The sequence below is a fragment of the Homo sapiens genome, chromosome 2, assembly GCF_000001405.40.
Source record: "Homo sapiens chromosome 2, GRCh38.p14 Primary Assembly".
NCBI classification, from domain to species: Eukaryota; Metazoa; Chordata; class Mammalia; order Primates; family Hominidae; genus Homo; species Homo sapiens.
The window spans coordinates 209,414,701-209,434,554 of NC_000002.12; the positions used below are offsets into that span (position 1 = coordinate 209,414,701).

Below are 19,854 nucleotides of genomic sequence, written 5' to 3' on the forward strand. Positions count from 1 at the left end.
AAGAACCACAAAAGGGGGCACTGATTTAAGTCCCAGAACATGTATCTTTGAAGGCAGAACAAGGTGAATGTCCCTGCTGAAGAAGAGAAAGTGAATTTGTGCTTTCTCTACCTTTTTGTGTATTCGGGTCCTTAATGTATTAGATAATGACCATCCACCTTGGTGAAGGTGATCTTCTTTACTCAATTCATCAATTCAAATGGTAGTCTCTTTTGGAAATATTCTTACAGACATTTAAAACATCAAAAACATTAGAAATGTTTTTTCTAGCATTCTGGGCATCCCTTACCCCAGTCAGGTTGACACATAAATTAACCATCACAGTTAGCGTATTTCAAATGTACATGTATATTCAAATTAAATAATCACAAAGGAATAATAATAAATTTTGAAGTAAATTATAATGAAAACACAGCATATCAAAATTTGGGAAATGTAGATAATGCAGTGCCTACAGAAAAATGTATCATTTTAATGCTTATATTATGAGGAGAAAACCTAACTCAATGATTTATCCTAATATATAAGCCAAAGTAGAAGTATGAGAAGAAATTAAGTAATATTTTGAACTAAATAAAATGAAAATATAACCTATCAAACTTGTGGAATGCAGCAAAAGCAGGGTCTAGAGGTCAAAAAGTTAAAATCATATGATCACATCAATAAGTGTAGAAAAATATTTGAGAAAATCAAGCCTCCATTCATTTTTATCATTAGAAAACTAGGAATAAAAAGACATTTTCACTACCTGATAAAGAACAACTACAAGTAACCTACATCTAGCATTATATTTAACAGAGAGAAACTAGATACTTCCCCCTAAGACTGGAAACAAGGTAGGGATATCCTTCTCATCTCTCCTATTAACATCTTAATAAAAGTCCTAGCTAATGCAATAAGACAAGAAAAGTAAATTAAAACTCACAGATTAGAAAGGTAGAAAAAAATTATCCTTATTTGCAGGTAACATGTTCGTCTATGTAGAAAATTCCAAAGAATGAACAAACAACAATAAAACTTCTGGAACTATTAAGAGATAATAGCAAGATTGCAGGTAACAAGGTGAATATACAAAAATCAATCGCATTATTATACACCAGCAATGGGCAATTGAAATTAAAAATTAAAAACATAATACCATTTACATTAACACCAAAAAGCTGAAATATTTAGGTTTAAATTAACAAATTATGTACAAGATATATATGAGAATAACTATAAAACCCTGATGAAAGAAATCAAAGATCTAAATAAATGAATGTGGGAAGGCTCAATATTGTCAATATCTCAGTTCTTCTCAACTTGATATGTAAATTAAATGCAATCTCAATCAAAATCTCAGCAAGTTACTTTGTGGATATCTACAAACTTATCCTACAGTGATATGGAAAAGAGAACCAGAATGTCCAACACAATGTGTAAGTAGAAGAACAAGTTAGAGGACTGACACTATCCAATATTAATATTTACTATAAAACTATAGTAATGAAGACAGTGCAGTACTGGCAAAAACAAACAAACCAAAACAGACAAATAGACCAATAGAACAGAATAGAAAATGCAGAAATAGACCTGCACAAATATAGTAAATTGATCTTTGACAAAGAAAGAAAGGCAATACAATGGAGAGAAGATAATTTTTTCAACAAATGATGCTTAAACAATTGGACATGTGAAAGCAAAAAAATGAATCTAGATGCTAATCTTACCTCTTCCACAAAAATTAACTCAAAATTAATTATAGGCCTAAATGTAAAACACAAAGCAATTAAACTTTAATAGATAACATAAGAGAAAATCCTTGTGACCTTGTACTTGGTAATGAGTTTTTAGATACAAAACTAAAAGACAATCTATGAAAAACAAATTAATAAATTGGACTTCATTAAGATTAAAAAGCTCTTCTCTGTGAATATCACTATTAAGAAGATGAAAAGGTAAGCCACAGATTTGGAGAAAACATTTGTGAAACACATATTCGATAAAGGACTTGAATACAAAATATAAAGAAACTCTTGAAACTCAACAATAAGAAAATATGTAATTTAAAAAATGGGTAAAATATTTGAATAACTACTATACCAAGGAACATATACAGGCAGCAAATAAGCATATAAGGTGATGCTCAAAATTATATGTTACTAGGAAACTGCAAATTCAAACAACGAGATACCACTAATGCCTACTAGAACAGGTAAAATTCAAACACTGACAACAGCAAATGCTCTTGAGGACATGAAACAAAAGGAATTTTAATTCATCACCAGAGGAAAGGTGCAGCCACTTTGGAAGACAGTTTGGCAGTTTCTTACAAAGCTAAACATAATCTACCCTACAATCCAGAAATTGTGCTTCAGGTATTTACCCAAATGGGTTGAAAACTTATGTCAGCACAAAAACCTGAACATGAATGTTTACAGCAACTTTGTGCTTGCCAAAATTAGAAGCAAATAAAATGTACTTCAATAGCTGAATGGATAAACAAACTATGGGACATTTATACAATGGAATAACATTTAGTGATAAAATGAGCTATCAAGCCATGAAAGGGTATGAGGAATCTTAAATATTTACTGTTAAATGAAAGAAGAAAAGCTATATACCACATAATTTCAACTATATAACATTTGTGGGGTATTGAAAGACTGTAGGGAGGAATAAATGGAGTACAGTGTATTTTTTAAGGCAGTGAAAATATCTTGTATAATACCACAATGATGGGCACATGACACTATATATCTGGCAATACCCACAAAACTGTACAATACCAAGAGTGAACCATAATATAAATTGTGAGCTTTAATTAATAATAATGCCTCAATATTGGTTCCTCAATTTTAACAAAGGTACGTCACCCATGCAAGATGCAAATAGTAGGAGAAACCATGGGCAGGGGAAAGGAAATGCATGGAAACTCTCTGTACTTTCTGTTCTGTTTTTCTTTAAATGTAAAACTGCTTTAAGAAATAAAGCTTATTAATAATGTATATATTTTTCAAAAACTTCAAAAAATCTAATTAAATAGAGATCTATACCATGTTCATTGATTGGAAGACTCAATATTTTTAAGACAGCAATTCTGCCAAAATTGATCTACAGACCTGAGAAAATTCCAAAGAAAACATAATTTTTACTTAAATTGACAAGTTGACATCAATATTTGTATGGAAATGCAAAAGACTACAAGAGCCAAAAGAAATTTGTAAAAGAAGAATAAGATTGTATTACTTGCCATGTCTGATTATAAGATTTACCATAAAGCTAGAGTAATCAAAATAATGTGAAATTGTCATAAGAATCAATGACATGGCAGAGTTCAGGAACAGACCTATATATATATGACCAATTGATTTCTGACAAAGATGTTATGGTCATTCAATGAAGAAAGGATGGTCTTTTCACAAAATAATTCTGGAACAACTGATATCTATACGGAAAAAAATAATCAGTAATACCTTATATCATATCTACTAATTTGAAATAGATCATAGAAATTAAAACTATCAAATTTCTAGAAGAGAACAGAAAAAAAGTAGCTCTGGAGTAAATGAAAGATTTCTTAGATATGACCAAAAAAAACACAAAGCATAAAAAGAAAATTTGATTGAGGAAATAGGGCTTTATCAAAATTAAAGGAGTTCGCACTTCCAAAAGATGACATTTAGAAAATGAAATGCAAACAAAAAATTGGAGGAAAATATTATCAAAATATATTCCTTATATATTCCTTGTATATTGGAAGATACACAACCCAATTAAAAATTAGCAAAATATTAGAACAGACACTTCACAACACAAAATCTGATGCAAGAATAACCAACAAGAACACAGAGACATATTGGCATCATTGGTCATCAAGGAAATTTGGTTCTTCTCAATAATTTTAGTTTTTCTACTGAAATTCTCTATTTTTTTCACTTATATTTCCTTTACTTAATTGAGTATATTTATAGTAGCTGATTTTAACACTTTTCTATTAATTCCAACATCTGGGTCATCTAAAAATTAATTTCTGTTGATTGTCTTTTTTTCTTGAAACTGGGCCACATTTTCCTGGTTCTTTGAATGTTGAATAGCTTTCGGTGGTATCCTGGATGTTAAGTTGTGAAGACTCTGGATTTCATTATATCACTCCAGTGTTGAAGTTTTTGTTTTACTACTCATTTAATTTGGTTAGATTCACATTGCAACATTTGTCACTCGGGTAGCAACTCAAACCTCAGCTCAGTATTTGGTTATTGTTTTTGTTTGTTTTAATCTTTAACTGGGAAGCATTGAATCTGTTCCATATACACATGATTCAGGGATAAAGTGGAGATTTGTGCGTAGATTATACCTAGAAATTTGGACTATTCCAGTGTCTCTTCTTTTCAGTCTTCTATTTTCACTTTCCATCTCAGGACATTGTCCCAAACTCTATACTCTATTTCAGGAAAACTGTAATTTTTCTATGACTGTTTGCCCCTGGCAATACTGTGTGCAATCTTCTCTCAAGTTAAAAGGCATTGAATGTGCCATTCCTTCTTCCAAGCGTTGATTCCCCTTTAAAATATGCCTGTTTTGTTTACATTCCAGTGCTTTCTGGTTTTGGTTGTTTCACCCCTACAGGAGATGTTATCTGGGGGATGGTAAGGTCTAGTAAAAGTCTACTCAGCAGTACTGAAAACTTATACTTCAATAGTTTCTTAAAATGTTAAGCATTGTAATCCCAGCACTTTGGGAGGCCGAGGCGGGTGGATCATGAGGTCAGGAGATAGAGACCATCCTGGCTAACAAGGTGAAACCCCGTCTCTACTAAAAATACAAAAAATTAGCCGGGCGCGGTGGCGGGCGCCTGTAGTCCCAGCTACTCGGGAGGCTGAGGCAGGAGAATGGCGTGAACCCGGGAAGCGGAGCTTGCAGTGAGCCGAGATTGAGCCACTGCAGTCCGCAGTCCGGCCTGGGCGACAGAGCGAGACTCCGTCTCAAAAAAAAAAAAAAAAAAAATGTCAAGCATATATCTACCATTCGACCCAGAAATTTCGCTCTTGGGTATATGACTAAAAGAAACAACAACATATCCACAAAAAATCTTATATAAAAGTTCATAACAACCTTATTACTAACAAGCAGAAACTGAAAATAACCCCAAATGTCCACTAATTAGAAAATGGATATACAAAATATGGTATATCCATACAATAAAATACTACTGAACAATAAAAAGGAATAAACTGCAGATAACTTACAAAATAAAGAATACATCTCAAAAGTAATATGTGTGCAAAAGAAGCCAGATGTAGAATAATATATATTGTCTGAATCCTTTTATAGGAATTCCAAGAATATGCAAAGTGAAGCCACAGAGAAACATAATCAAAAGTGTAGTTACCTCTATGGGTTGGGGCTGAAGGTGTAGATTGAACATTTCTGATCTGTGCTTTTAACTGAATGTAAATTATACCTCAACAAAATTTTTGAACAGAATGATACATTTATGGTCCAGAAGAAGTCAATGGTAATTTCACCACCTGTTCAATGAACTAGGCATAGAATTGGAAATGGGAGACCATACTACAAAGCTCATTTTTAAATTTTAAAGCCATTGCAATGGTCAAAACTTGTGAAACATGATAGAAATTTTGATAGATGTGCCTCTAGTCATCCATAGAGAAAAGGTCAAGAAATTAAAAACAAAACACAAAAAGCCCATTTCACACATAGAAGGTAAAAGACTTATGTGTGTCTGCTCTTCAGTGTCATACCTGCATCTTGCATCCACATCTTTTCTATGATGGGCTGCACATTGTATCAGCATTGTTTGTGTATGTATGAACCTTGCTCATTGTTTCTCTAGGGGCCACTTAATTAATGTTCATCAACTTAATAAGCAAATCCTCAGCTGAGCTATAATTTCTCATAGCTTTATAAAACTAAAGTGACCTTAGGTGGCATGTGGTTGAGTCTCCTCATTTGCTAATAAAAATATTGAGGTTCAAAATGGTAGAGAGATGTACCCAAGGTCACACAAGCAGGGAACAGCAAATATGGGCCCTCAGATCTGACTTGAAGTCTGGTGCTCTTAACACTATGCAGTACAACCTCCTCAAAGGCTCACCTACTCCTTGACTCTCTGGGGAGAAGGTTTCATTACTTCCTATATACCAGTAGACCTTTCTCTAATCAGTAGAAATACATTTATTCTGATGGTTTTCTGACTGAGAAACTATCAGAAGTCCTGTCCCTGAGAAAAGGGTATGGTTGTTTATGTACGTAATCCTCCGGGCCAAATAAATACAAATCAAGAATTTAGCCTGAAGACAAGACAAGTAATTGTGGAAATCAATATTGGCAGGCTCTTTCTATCTGTGGTTTACTTTTTGGAGTCCAGCACTGTATTAGTCAAGGCTTCTTCAGTTGAAAATGACAGGAATCCAACTACAGCAAGCTTAGAAAAGAAACAAAAATCTATTGGCTTGAAAAATGGCATTTCTACCTTGAGACGTAGCAGGATCCATGGAGTCTTTCAAGTGTTCTTTCTCCATCTCTCAGCATTGCTTTTCTGCATGGAAGGAAATACAGTCACTGACAACTCTATACCTATACCATCCGATTCACTATTGTTCATATGACACATCTCATGGAAAAAAGCCTGATTGGAAATATTTGGGACATATGACCACCCTGTATCAATCACTATACATTAGGAGAACAGGTTCTACTATAGAGTTAGCCAGGGTCACATGTCCACCTCTGAGAAAGAGAAGAGAGGCACACATTTTACTAGCATATGGGGAATCATATGAAAAGGATCATTACTCTAAGGAAGGGATGCTTTGCTGAGGGAAAAAAAAAAGTTCACTTCAACACAAAGATCCCTCCTTAAACCAGAAGCCTAAACATATGGAGTCCCCTCCTAAAGTTGTTTGACATCCCAGGGCACTGACTCCTGCAAACTGTATTTCTTAGGCTGCTTTGTCAACTGACTTTCTTCTAGGTTCACCCAATGACAGGGTTTTGAAATACAGGTTAAAGGAGGGCCACAATATTTCTTTTCACTCTCAGCTTTTGGAGGACCCTCCAGCATTATCTGTCTCCCAGTAAGCATCTCCACTGTGGTCTCAGTTCCTTTAATGTAGCTTGTGCTCCTCATTCCTGGTAAAGCCTCCTCTCTAGCACTCCCCAGCCTGAGAGTGGTAGTACTTTCCTGCTAGTAACTATCATCGTGTTGCCTCATCATCCCCTAGTTGGCTTTTTAGTCATTTGAATCCTTTGTAATTTGTTCCCCATATTAAATTCTCTCTATTGAATTACAACATATAGATGCTATTTTTCTGAAAGAACTCTAAGATGTGTGTCGAGAGGAGGCAATCTCCCATATAAGGACCAGGTTCCCCAAAGAGAAAAGCCATTAGAGTTTGGCTGCCTCAGCTAATCTTAAAGTGGAGGAAAAAACAAACAAACAAACAAACAAACAAAAACAAAAAGTGCTGAGGAACACTGTACTTTAAACTATCAGAGAAATAATGTCTTTTTTATTGCTGTTTTTTAGAGACAGGGTCTCACTCTGTCACCCAGGCTGGAGTGCAGTGGTGTAATCATAACTCACTGCACCCTCAAACTTCTGGCTTCAAGCGATACTCCCTCCTGAGCTGCTGGGATTACAGGTGTGAGCCACCGCTCCTGGCCCTGGAAAATTACTCTCATTGAGCACCTGCGCCTGCATGCCTGGTCATGAATGTCAGCTGCTAACACTCTGGTAGCATGCCTACTCCTTCCTCCCATCCACATACTGTCTATGATTTCCTAGTCTCCTAAGACCTCCTTCTCAGTAAGGCCATCTTCCGAGGAGGAGCATCAACTCCTCCAACCTCCCAGCTCCTGGGTGTGCCTTGATACTTCCAAACTCACTGCAAGCGTCACTGGCACATGGTATGAAGCAGAGCGGGGGAGGCAGGACACAGAGCACTGGGTGTGACTGGGGAGGGCAGGCTTTCACAGCTTCCTCTGTGATGGTTTCTAATCCTTGCAGGCTCCCACCATTGGGTCTCTTTCCATCTGAAAATGGAGGAAATTAGACCAGCTGCCTAAAACATCAACTCTAATGTTCTAGGTTCTAAGATTCTGTGGTTAATTTAAGTGACAGAACCACATTATGGCTGCTGTTTCATCAGCACTGTGAAGACTGTACAAGCCACACCTCAGTATGTTGGCTGACCTTAAAAACACCTTGTCAGTACTTGATATAGACACTCGAAGTAATTCTAAGTTGCATCTTACTTTTCTTACTTACAATAAAATGCTGCTCTCTGATTATGAAGATTCATACTCCTTAGTACGAATGGTAAAGAATCATTTGTTTTCTCAGGTGGTCATTTCACTTTCAAAAGCATTTAAGAGGCAATTTTTTTAAGGGTGATATTTCAAGGTCAACACTTTCCGTGCTTTCTAATTCATTGTATTTGTATCATTCTTCAAAGATCCTTCATATTCATTATCTTTTTAAGCATAAGAGAATTGGGCTGTCATTTTTAGTTCTCATATGACACATGAATACACTGAGAGTTAGATTAAGTGAACTGTCTCTAGAGCATACGTCTGGCTATCTAGAATGTAATAACTATAAAGGGAGGGGATCTTTCTTATTAGGGTTGTGGGAAAGGTCTGTCACTGATGTTTCTAATGCTTAGAAGAGTGCCTGACACATAGTAGGTGTCAATAAACATTCGTTGACTCAATAAATGAATGAATCTAATTCGTGACAGAGCTGGGTCTAGAATTCTCTACTCCCTCAGCCATTGCTCCTTTAGTGCTGACAAGAGTTGTTCTATGTTCTCAAGCGCCCCACATTCCTTTGTCTTTTCTGGATGCACCTGTGGTTGGGTTTGTGAGGCGAGGCCAGTGAGCTTTCCTGGTGAGGTGCCACTGGCAACCCCGCCTCATAGCGACACAGGGGAGGGAAGCAGGGGGTCTGCGGAGGTTGCTCCCGAGAGACTAAAGCTGTTGCCCCCGATTTTCCAAGGACGCCAGTGAGGAAGGCCCGCCTGTCCCGCCGCCCGGGCACTGGCCTCACTTTGTCGCGGGAGGGGACCAGGGCTCTGGAGAAGGCCCGGGCCAGCGGCTGGGCGGGGCTCTCCGAGGCTCCCACCTCGCGGTCCCCGCCTGGCGGCCGGCGGCTGCGGCAGAAGGCGAAGCGGTCGTGCTCCCCCTCCCGGACACTGCGGCGGTGGCAGCGCCAGCCCCGCCGCGGCCGCCCACGGGCTCGCGGAGTCTGGCGGGACCTGCGCGGGGCGGGACCTGCGCGGGGCGGGGAGGAGGGGCCGAGGCGGAGCTGCTGCGCTGGGAGCCGGCTGGGGGCGCCGCTCTCAGTCTGGGGCGGGCGCTCGGGCTGCGCGGGCTCTGGGCAGCAGCAGCAGCAGCAGCAGCATCCTCTCTTCCTTTACTTCCCTTCCGCTTCTTTCTCTTCCTTCTCCTTCTTTTTCCCCCCCCTCCCCTTCTTCCCCTAACCCTTCTACCCCTCTCCTTTTTCTCCGGAGGGCGCTAAGTCCGTGAGCGGTGGCAGTCGCGACCGCGGGTGCATCCAGTTTCTGCGCCCAGGTAAGAGACCGTCCCCACCTCTGGCTCTATGTAGGGCGCCTCTCCTTTTGCCTCGGTCTCTGAGTAGAAAGAGATAGGAATGGGGAGGGGTTGTGTCTCGTCCTCTGGGACTCGCAGCAGGCAGTCTGGTAGTTGGTCGAGTGGCCAGCCGTGCACCTGGCGGAAGATTCGGGCCTGTCCTCTCCAGGTGTCACTGCGGAGCAGGGGGCCGGACGCTACTGGTACCTGAGCCCTGGCTTCGTAGAAGAGCGAGTGAGCTTGTTAGGTACCACTTTGAAACAACTGAAAACTTACGCCAGGTTAGAATACGTGTATCGAAAGCCAGTATTACCTGCGCTGTGGAAAGAAGGGGAGTGGATTCTACAAAGATAGTGGAAAATAGGAAATCGAGGTAGGGGATTTTTTTGTTCATCCAGCTGCAGAGAACTGCACACTGGGAAGTGAGTGAGTGAGGGAAGCCTTGTCCATTTCAAATCATGTTTCTCTGTAATTCCTTCAGAAACAGCTGGGAGAGGAGGACTGATATTTATAATTGTAGGAAAATGAAAAATAAATGCCTGGTGGTGTTGGAGGGCGGGGCACGAAGAAATGAGTCTGGTTAGGCTTCCACACAGTCGTTTTTCTTTTTAAACGTTGGGGGTGGACCTCTGAATCTACAGTGCATCTATTCTTTTCTTCCTTTTCTTTTTAAAAGGCTTTTTTGGTGGGGAGAGGAGGACTGCAGTGCTGGCTGCCTGCCTTCCCCCACCTCGTCTTTTGTTTAAGGATGGAAATTTCAAGAAAGAGTGTGTGGGGGGCTAGGAGTGGGGAGCTGTATATTTGGGTGTGTATAGGGGGAGGGGTATGGATGGAGTCAGAAAAAAAATCCTTGAAAACTGGAAATTAATGTTATTCTGCCTGGCATCCGGACTTCAGGATTTTTGTCAGAAAATAAAAAGCTTTCATTAGCAACAAGCCCGTTTGTGACAATTGCTGTGTGCCATCTGTCGTAAGCTCTTAGCACAATGCTTCCAGGACATAGACGCTTTAAAATTGAGTCCGGTGTAAAGGGTTTTTGTTTAAATGCCTAAACACACAAGTATGCACACAAATGTATAATACACTATATACATGTTACAAAAGGAAATAGGTACTTAAGAGACTGATTTTTTAAAATTGTATTTGAGGGTTTGGAAATTATGTTGTGAATAAAATCTGTAGTGCAAAACAAAAAAATATTGTTGGGTGGTATATAATTTTGGGTGTGAGGCAAAGGGATTGATGACTGTTGGTAAGGAACTAATTTAAATGTTAAAGGTATAATTTATTTTAAAATGATCAGTCTAGAAAAGGAAATGATTGCAAACTGAAATTGAGGTTTGCAGCCACAGTGAGGCGATGGAGAACAAAGCCTTCTATGTGAGCCACATTATGCAAAATGTCCCATGCATGAGCTGCAGGTACCAGCCCAGTTCAAAAGCATAGTTCTTTCACTATGTCATTTCACTGTGGACAATTATGATTTTTTTTGGCAGTCAAATAGATTGAATAAATAGAAGCCCTTTAGAATGCTTTTAATTTTATGCCCAGGGAAAAGATTACAGCCTTCCATCAGAATATAACACAAAGCAGCCCTTTAACCGGGCAATAGGTGTATTTTGGTAGAAATCCTTGTGAATTTGCAAATCATGGATGTTCCAAAAGCCCCAGCCCCATGCACACAAAGAACCCTTCCTTCAAGAAAAAAGGCATTTTTCTCATTCAGTAAGGATTATTATATTTGTGTGTGTATGTTTATGTTGATTTCCTGGTAATTTCATCTGATTATCATAGGTGTACATCTGCATTCATGATTTGTATATTATCAGAGCCATTGTGGCTTTAGGATCAGTGGTACATGCTGTTTATCTGTGGTTTATTTAATTTTAATTTTTCATATTTTACAGTTTGCTACAATATTATTTAATGTCCAAAGTTTTCTTTTTTAAAACCATAAGTAGAAAATTGCTTAACACACATCTGAAGATCTAAGTAATTTAAAAATAGAGCTACCTTTTATAAAATAATATTTTAGTTATATTAATTTTTATTTTATTTATCTCCTCTCTTATTTTTTTCCCTTTTCTAATCAAATAACCTGTTTCTTTATGGCTGCTTTAGTCTTCTATACTGCCATAGGAGGGCCAGTGTTTTCAAGAATTTTGAATTTAGGATTGTTCATTCTCTGCAGCACCTCTCAGGATGACTTGTTTACAGCACCTTCTCAGGGAGGAGACAGGGAAAGAATGTGCTGAAAGAGCATGACCCAGTGAAACTGGCACAGCCATTACCTCATCCTAGTAGGTACTTCAGATTCATTGAGAGAGCAGGCATCCTCTCAGTGGAAACCAAACACCAGGAGCACACCCATCTCAGGGCAAAAGCCTTTCTCTTCCCATAGCAGCCTTTACTAATGTCATTCCACTGAGGTTAAAGGGATATTTTCTCTTTTATGTATTCCTTTTCAGGGATCTTGAACTTGGTTAGAAATATGTAGCCAGAAATGAAACTTGGCACAGAATCCTCTAAGCCTGAAGGAATAATTTCATTCCTTTACCCCTTTTGGTTTAAACCAGTTCGCAAATTTTCTAAACATCAGAAGGGAAAAGGAAGAAAAATGTTGGTGTATTTTTGTGTATTTTCTTATCACACACACATATTTTGTATTGAATTTTACTAGCAGTTAGACAACAGACTGGACATGCTATTAACAAATGTAGTTGCACTGTTGGCATTTTAAAAAATCATTATTACATTTGCTTATAGGACAATAGGTGCATCCTTCAGTGATTCATTGATGTCCTTTTGAGACTGACCATATGAAACTGACATGGGGATTTTAGTATTCAAGTTGGTAACTCTGATTATTGAATCCTTTCAATACTTAATTTCCTCTTAACAGATTAAGATAAAGAATCTGAAATAATAGTTACAGTAGAAGATAGCACCACCCCCAGATCAATACTATCCTCCTTAATGCTAAAAGTAGTCACTTTAGGTAAGTCATTAGTAAATGCATGAACCTGAAGATAACAGTTTTGAAACAATCTCAAATTTTTTTGTCTCTGTTATAGATTAGTTAAAGATGCTAATAAACTCTTTGAGTCATATCTGATTCTCTCAGATATATCAAGTGTTTTTGCTACTTTAATTATCTCTTTACTATTGCCATTACCTTTATCTACTCAATCTAGACCTTTTCATGTAAGGACTGTATTTTGATCATTTCACCATATTTTCCCTCCCTTCACATCATTCTTTTTAATTCGACATTTGGATGTTAGACTTACTGTTCTCTAGCTATTTTGGTTTCAGTAATGTTACTCTCTTGATACAAATTTGGCCTTTATTTTTCATTAAGGAGAGCACTTATTACCATTTATGTATTTATTTATTCATTATGAGAAACAACTTTTGATATTCTCAGTTTTCAATTGCAGAAAATGATTCTAGGCACCAAAAGCAGTTAAAAGTCTGCAAATTAATATGTAGTACACAAAAGGCCAAAGTCAAGGGAGACAGTCTGTATGAAGGTTTGGGTGGGTGGGTAGGTGGGTGGGCGTAGAGGAAGATGTGGAATGAAAGCAAATTCTCAGCTATTAAAAGCTGTCCATGTAGGGTAGAGATGAGCCTTTTTGTCTAAGAGGGTGAAGAAGGAATAAATGTTTTGTTTTTCTGTTTCAACATATTTTGTCCCCATCCCTCCCCTGTCATGTCTTTGAACTAAGGCCATGGTGCTTCCTTATAAAAATTATACAGTATGTTTATTGGAAGGAGTTTTACAGTGAATTAGGTGAATTCAGAATTTTAAAATGATGTGAACACAATTAGATGAATTTTTATGAAAAACACTTTGAATCTAATCTTTGATCTTTCCTGTTCAAGACATAAGCTTTCCTTTGAATGGTAGTACTTTAACTGTAATACATTTTACTTAAACATTTCAGTAAAATTCTATGGAAAGTTAGACAAAATAAAGAGCTCAGGATCCTCTTTCAGTCTACTGTTAAGTTTATATTGTGGAAGTTGGGGAAAGTTTTAGACAGTTTGTTTTCCGTTAAAACACACACTAGAGGGGGCAAATTTCTTTTTTTTTTTTTTTGCTTTTTGTTATGTTAATGAGCAAATAATTTACTTTTAAGATCACATACCTTGACTTTTTTCTTTCCTTTTTTGTCTTCTTTCCATTCTCCTCTTTCCCTTTTCTTTTCTTCTTTACTTAGATTGCTCCTTTCTTTCAGTTTGTATTGGCAAAATAAACATTGGTCTTTAGAAAATGAAATTATAGCCTGATATTCTTATTGAAATTTATTTTTCATTATATTTATATTTCTCATTTAACATGAAGTTTTATGCTAACCTCTCCTCCTTCTCAAGGCTCCATCCCTATCTTGGTCCTTTCTTTGAACTTGGCTTTTATATCCCCTAGGCTTCAACAGTTTTTTCCTTGTATACCAATCTTTCATAACGCTTTGTACCTCAAAAAGGCCTTTAAAAACCAGAAGAAAAGTTACTACCCTATTTCTCCCGATTAGTTTGTATCCAAGTTTATTCAGGTTCCCTTAGGTTATAGGTAATTGCTCGCCTCAATGTGTCCTCATTAGCCTTCTTTGAATTACTTTATTTTATTTTATTTATTTATTTATTTATTTATTTATTTATTTATTTATTTATTTTGAGACGGAGTCTCGCTCTTTCGCCCAGGCCGGAGTACAGTGGCGCCATCTCGGCTCACTGCAAGCTCCGCCCCCCGGGTTCACGCCATTCTCCTGCCTCAGCCTCCCGAGTAGCTGGGACTACAGGCGCCCGCCACCGCTCCCGGCTAATTTTTTGTATTTTTAGTAGAGACAGGGTTTCACCTTGTTAGCCAGGATGATCTCGATCTCCTGACCTCGTGATCCGCCCGCCTCAGCCTCCCAAAGTGCTGGGATTACAGTCATGAGCCACCGTGCCCGGCAATTACTTTAAAGACATTTTCAGACAAAAGTAATACATGTATACAACGAATTTTTTTAAATAAAAAATTTGGCTAGCCAACTGACTTTTTATTATTTTGTTCATCAGACACTATAAAACATGGTTCAACTAGTTTTTTTTTTTTAACAACTAGTAAAGTTACTATGTGTCAGGCAGTCCATTGTCTTTATGTTAGTTAACTAGTTCCACTAATGTGTACCTATTAAGTGAAGTATGAACTACTCTATGAGCAATCAGTAAATGTTGAACTAAATTAATTTAATTTTAAGTAAAATATTCCTAATTACATTTCTCTGTATAGCATCATCATTAGCCATCTTAATCTACCTCAAAAATGACCATAAAATACAGTGCTTGAATATCATGAGATATTTCATCGCTTAACTGTCTAGGTCCTTTACAGTTAAAGCAAACTCACAAGTAAATATACAAACTGACTCTATTTGAGACAAAACCATCATTTCAATATGAACCCTTTACATTTATTTAAGTAGTAATGGATTTTAGGTGGCTACTACCTTTGCATTACAACAATTTAAAAGTACAACATTGTGTTGTTAATGCATGGTGCTGAAATTACATAATGAATTGGCATGAGAAAGTGTTCATCAATTTTAAAATGAATAATATGGTATCATTTTGATTGGTATTAAGGCAATTAAATAATGCTCGGCTTTGACATTTTACTATTTTATTTGGGTATTGTACCTCTCAAATTGGTAATTTTCTCTTCCCTTAAGAGTCTACCTTTTTGAGCAAAATAATGTATTAAGTAATAGGCTGCCTATTTTTTATTGTTGTTTATATGATTCACTACGTCCTTTTGGCCCACTTTGAAAAACAAGCAAAAAAGTTTTTAGGATTCAGTTATTCATTCTTTTTATCTTAATAGGTCATCTAGTATAGCCAGGAAAATATTTGATTCTTTAATTTGCTACAAAACTTATTTATTGTTTGAACAAAATTTTCAATCTGTAGCATACAATTTCTTTACTTAGTGGATGAGAACATGGAATTATAATACTTGTAACAACTTCTCAGCCTGCTAATTTTGTCTACCTGGTGTTTCACAAGGGCTAACATGATGGTGGCAGTGGTGGTATTTGTGTGTTTGTGTATAATTACTTTCTAAGATAGAGTTAGACTTTTATATATTTGCTTTTTTCATTGGTGAAATCAATTATTATGCAATCAGTTGATTCCACATGAGAACAGTTGGTATTAAATACAATTTAATAGGGAAAACAATGACCAAGTATTTATTAATGAAATCAAATTAGATTAATATTAAAGTATTGCTGTATTTTTCTGTTTGGATTAAGATAGTCCAGATTCCATTGTTCATTATTGAAATCAAATGGTAAAGCTAAATCTTGTGCTCAAAATTAAAACATCTCCATGTTGATCAAAATGTCCTAAGTTGGAATACTGGCTACTTAAATGTATCTTTTAAGAAGTTCAGGTGACACTGCTTTTACATGGAAAATGCCCTTTATCTTCACTTAAACATCAGAAACCAGGACTGATGGAACTTTTAAGAATTTTGCTGCTAGGAGAACATAAAATACTAAGCATCTACTGAAACCTGAATCTCTTATAAAACAACCAAGTGACTATGATCTAGGACTTATTTAAAAGATCTTTGGCCACTGTATCTCAGACTAAAGTTTTGCCTTATTCGGGATGAAGATTATTTCAGAGCACTGAGTGGCCTTTGGTGAAACTTAACAGTTTTTTTCATTTGTTTAAGTTCTTATAGCTTTAAAACTCAGTCACGAATTTCATGCTTTTTCTTCTTTTGTCTTCAGTAGCACCATATTGAGAGTGGTCAATATCAAAACTGGCAGTATGAAGCTTTGTACAATCCTGGACATTCTTACTGCCTTATTTAGTCGCTTCCCAAATGGTATCATGAGGGTATTAATAGGAATGCAAAGTTCTCCATTAAAAAAATGGCATTTAAAATGGATAAACTGATTTTTAATAAAATCTTTTTATTCCTAACATATTTATGATTTATGTAATGGAATAACTTTTTGTAGCCCTGTTAATTACTGGATTAGAAGGACTGTGTGTTTACATATCTGGAAATATTTAAAATGCTATTAAATGCATTCTTTTTGTAATTAGTTAATTATTTTTTACATTTACAAATGAGAGTTACAAATACATTCTTTATTTCTGTGCCTCTGCCCCATCACTGAAAAGGCATCAATTCTCAAGACTTGCTATTTATATATGAATTAGAGAATGTTTGATGGGGAAAAGAGACTATCAAGGGCAAATGTTGTGAACCTGTGGAGTACATATAAGTAAACTGGGACAGTGACCATTTAAGTGACTTTCCTTATCTAGTTAGTAGGGGAAGCAGGCCTGAGACTCAATAATTCAGGCTCAAACTCAGTGCTTGGTAAGAGGTGTCACTGAAGACTCATCTCATTCTGACTGCCATTCCCAATTCTGATTATATTTCTGTTCTCTGAGCTGAGGGTGGATTGAGGTGGCAGTCATACCTGCCCAACTTCGTGACTCAACTGTGACTTTCACATGGATATAAAAGAGGGAGGGGCTCGGAATTCTAGGGTTATTCCAACCAGCTACATGCCAGCTACACTACTGTAAGCACTGAGACTAAATCTGATCCAGGAAACACTTACAAAGCTACTGCTCCAGGGCCATTCCTGTGGTTTGGATCTCTCCGGATAGTAGTTTAAACTCTGGGGATGTGTGCCCAGACTTGGAAAGCCAATGAGCTTTTCTGTGAGCTTGAACTATCCATACTGATGCCTCCAGACTGATTTGAGTCTGTATTTAAACTTGGCTCAACATATAAGGGGAATCCAACAAAAATAGGCAGGTTGAAACTTTTTTCTCATCTGTAATGCCATTAAATTTCCTTCAAATTGCTTTCCTTTTGCGTTTCTCCCAGATTTAACATTTTTAGCTAAGAAGAAGTAAGCTAGAAAGGCTGTGGGCCTCTGTGTTTGTGCCTATTTTCCACTTACCTTCCTACTCTTATGTGCCTTCCTGTTTCTCTGCCTACAGTGCTCTATCCCTCTTGGTTGTTGTTGTTGTTTTGCTTTTTCCAAGACTGCATATTAAATAAGAATTGGGTGTTGCTGTGGTTCCTGTGTTCAGCAGAGCTTCATCTGCACCCATGCTGCTTAAGCGTTATGGAATCTTTAGTTGACAAATACTTGAAAGCCACGAAAGGCATCTTAAAGGAAAGAAATTAAGTAGAAATTGTGCTTAAATATTAAGGAGAAACATATTCCTGGTCACTGAAAACTGAAACCATACCACTATCAGGAGAGTGAAATAATTCTAATGCCACCATTCTATTAGAAAATTCCGTGTAATATGTCTTAATTCTCTCGATGAACATGTCTAATCATCCATCAGAGTCAGAGTGACTGTTTTATCACTGAGTAGATTGTACAGAGTTTCTTATAATTTCCATATACATTGATGAAAAATGGGTTGTGCATATTGGTCTTCCTCTGAAGTGTCTTTATGTGGTACAGGGAATAAAACCACCTGGATTGTATATCAAGAGTCAACACATATAAATGCAGATCTCTTAAAGTAAGATATTTCATACTCTTCTTAGTTTATTTTATTTGGTGGTCTGAAATTTAAATAATCTGTAAAGAATTAAGATAATGCCTTTTAGAACATGATGTTCTTACTTGGGAGGGATTCACTGTCTCTGTCTCTTCTACTTGAATATCAGGCTAGTGTGTCCTTTCTTAGATCATAGCCCATGGTTCATTCACTTATTTATTAAACACATGGTTATTGGGTTCCTAATATTTAGTAGGCACTTTTCTGAATGTGGAAAATATCAGAAGAAACCACATAAATTCCTGTCCTCATGGAGCTAACATTCTAGCAGCAGGAGACAGACATTAACAAGTGAAATAATAAATGAACATTTCAGACACAAATAAATGCTGTAGGGAATATACAATAAACATATATAATAGAGCTTGTCTGTGATGGGATAGGCTGCCTTTGGAGGCATGAGTGATGAGAAGTAGCCAGCCACAGTAGTACCCGGAGGAAAAGCTTTCAAGTGAGAGAGAGTAGCCTCAAAGCAGGAAGAAGCTTGGTATATTTGGAAAACAGAAAGACCAATGGTACTGGAGTCCAACAGACACGGTAGAGGATACTGGGACACTTAAGTCAGAACAGAAGGCAGGTACCAGGCCACATTGGTCCTTTTGACCCTGATAAGGAGTTTGTCTTTTATTTAACTTGCACTGCACTGTAATTTTTCAGGTTGTTAAAAGCAGAATTTTTTTAGAATCTCATAAAAGCTTTCAAAGATTAATTATATCTTCTAAATCCCTCTAGATATATCTGTATCTTATTTGCTAATGTGTTAAATCACAAGAGAGAAATAATTTAGAAAATCAGAAATCAATGGTGGAAACAAGAGTAGACTTTTGGTAAGCTGTTCTTATCTAATGCTGTAACGTAACTCAAACTGTGTCATTTTTTTTTGGCTGTTGGTGAGTTACATGCATAATTAATTTTAATCACTTGTAGTCTCTTTGTACCCCAAACCAAGCTTTTCAAAACAATCTAAACAGAAAAGTACAAATTCATGTTTGAGGGAAGTAGTCAAAAAAAAAATTCCATTCTCAATATGAATGGGTCCTTTGGCTATTTCCCCACAGCAGATTTAGTTGTAAACAAGGTCAGGTGCCAAACAACAACCAACATTAAATAACAGTGTAACACACATTTTGCTTCTTAGAGACAATGGTCTAAATCTCCTGACAATTTGGTAAATGAGCGGATCCAGTTTCATGATAATCTTGAATCATGTATGAGATTAATAAGCAGTGTACCTCTTTATGCATATATTGCTTATACTAAAATATTTAATGCACTTTTCAGATATTTATGGACTTAGTGTAATGCTCTGTTGAGTTTAGCTTTAAATACACTTTGCAGACATTTGATTTATTGTACTTTCGGCATGGTTCAGAGCTGTTTACTTTTTTCCTAAGCATGCCCTCAATAAACAAAATTATTATTTTTTTATTTTGTCATATTATGATAGTTACTGGACATTTCCAAAATATCACATAATTTAGGAGAAATTAATATTTTTATTTTATAATGGGGTATTTAATTATTGTTGATTTTTGTTTAAGCCTCTTTCCTTGACTTCTGTTTTATTTTTAGGATTATTTTTATTATGTAAATTACTTTAATGTGGAACCATTTGATATAAGGATCTTCCAGACTTGCAGTTACTGAAATGTTAAAAAT

The 19,854-nt window shown here is 36.8% G+C and overlaps 1 protein-coding gene across 35 annotated transcripts in view, besides 1 other annotated feature; it reads left to right on the plus strand.

Moving 5' to 3' along the window:
* Positions 9,028-9,417: a silencer, noted in NCBI's record as "silent region_12291". NCBI's record gives its function as "represses an Ori minimal core promoter by ATAC-STARR-seq in GM12878 lymphoblastoid cells {active_cell/tissue: GM12878}" and the evidence as "EXISTENCE:reporter gene assay evidence [ECO:0000049][PMID:35858748]".
* Positions 9,347-19,854, plus strand: part of MAP2 (microtubule associated protein 2) — a 310,066-nt gene continuing 299,558 nt past the window's right edge. For all 35 annotated transcript variants that reach the window (NM_001375493.1, NM_001375501.1, NM_001375503.1 and 32 more), the window contains exon 1: positions 9,347-9,576. The gene's annotated coding sequence lies outside the window, so the exon portion shown is untranslated. The remainder of the gene's footprint in view (positions 9,577-19,854) is intronic.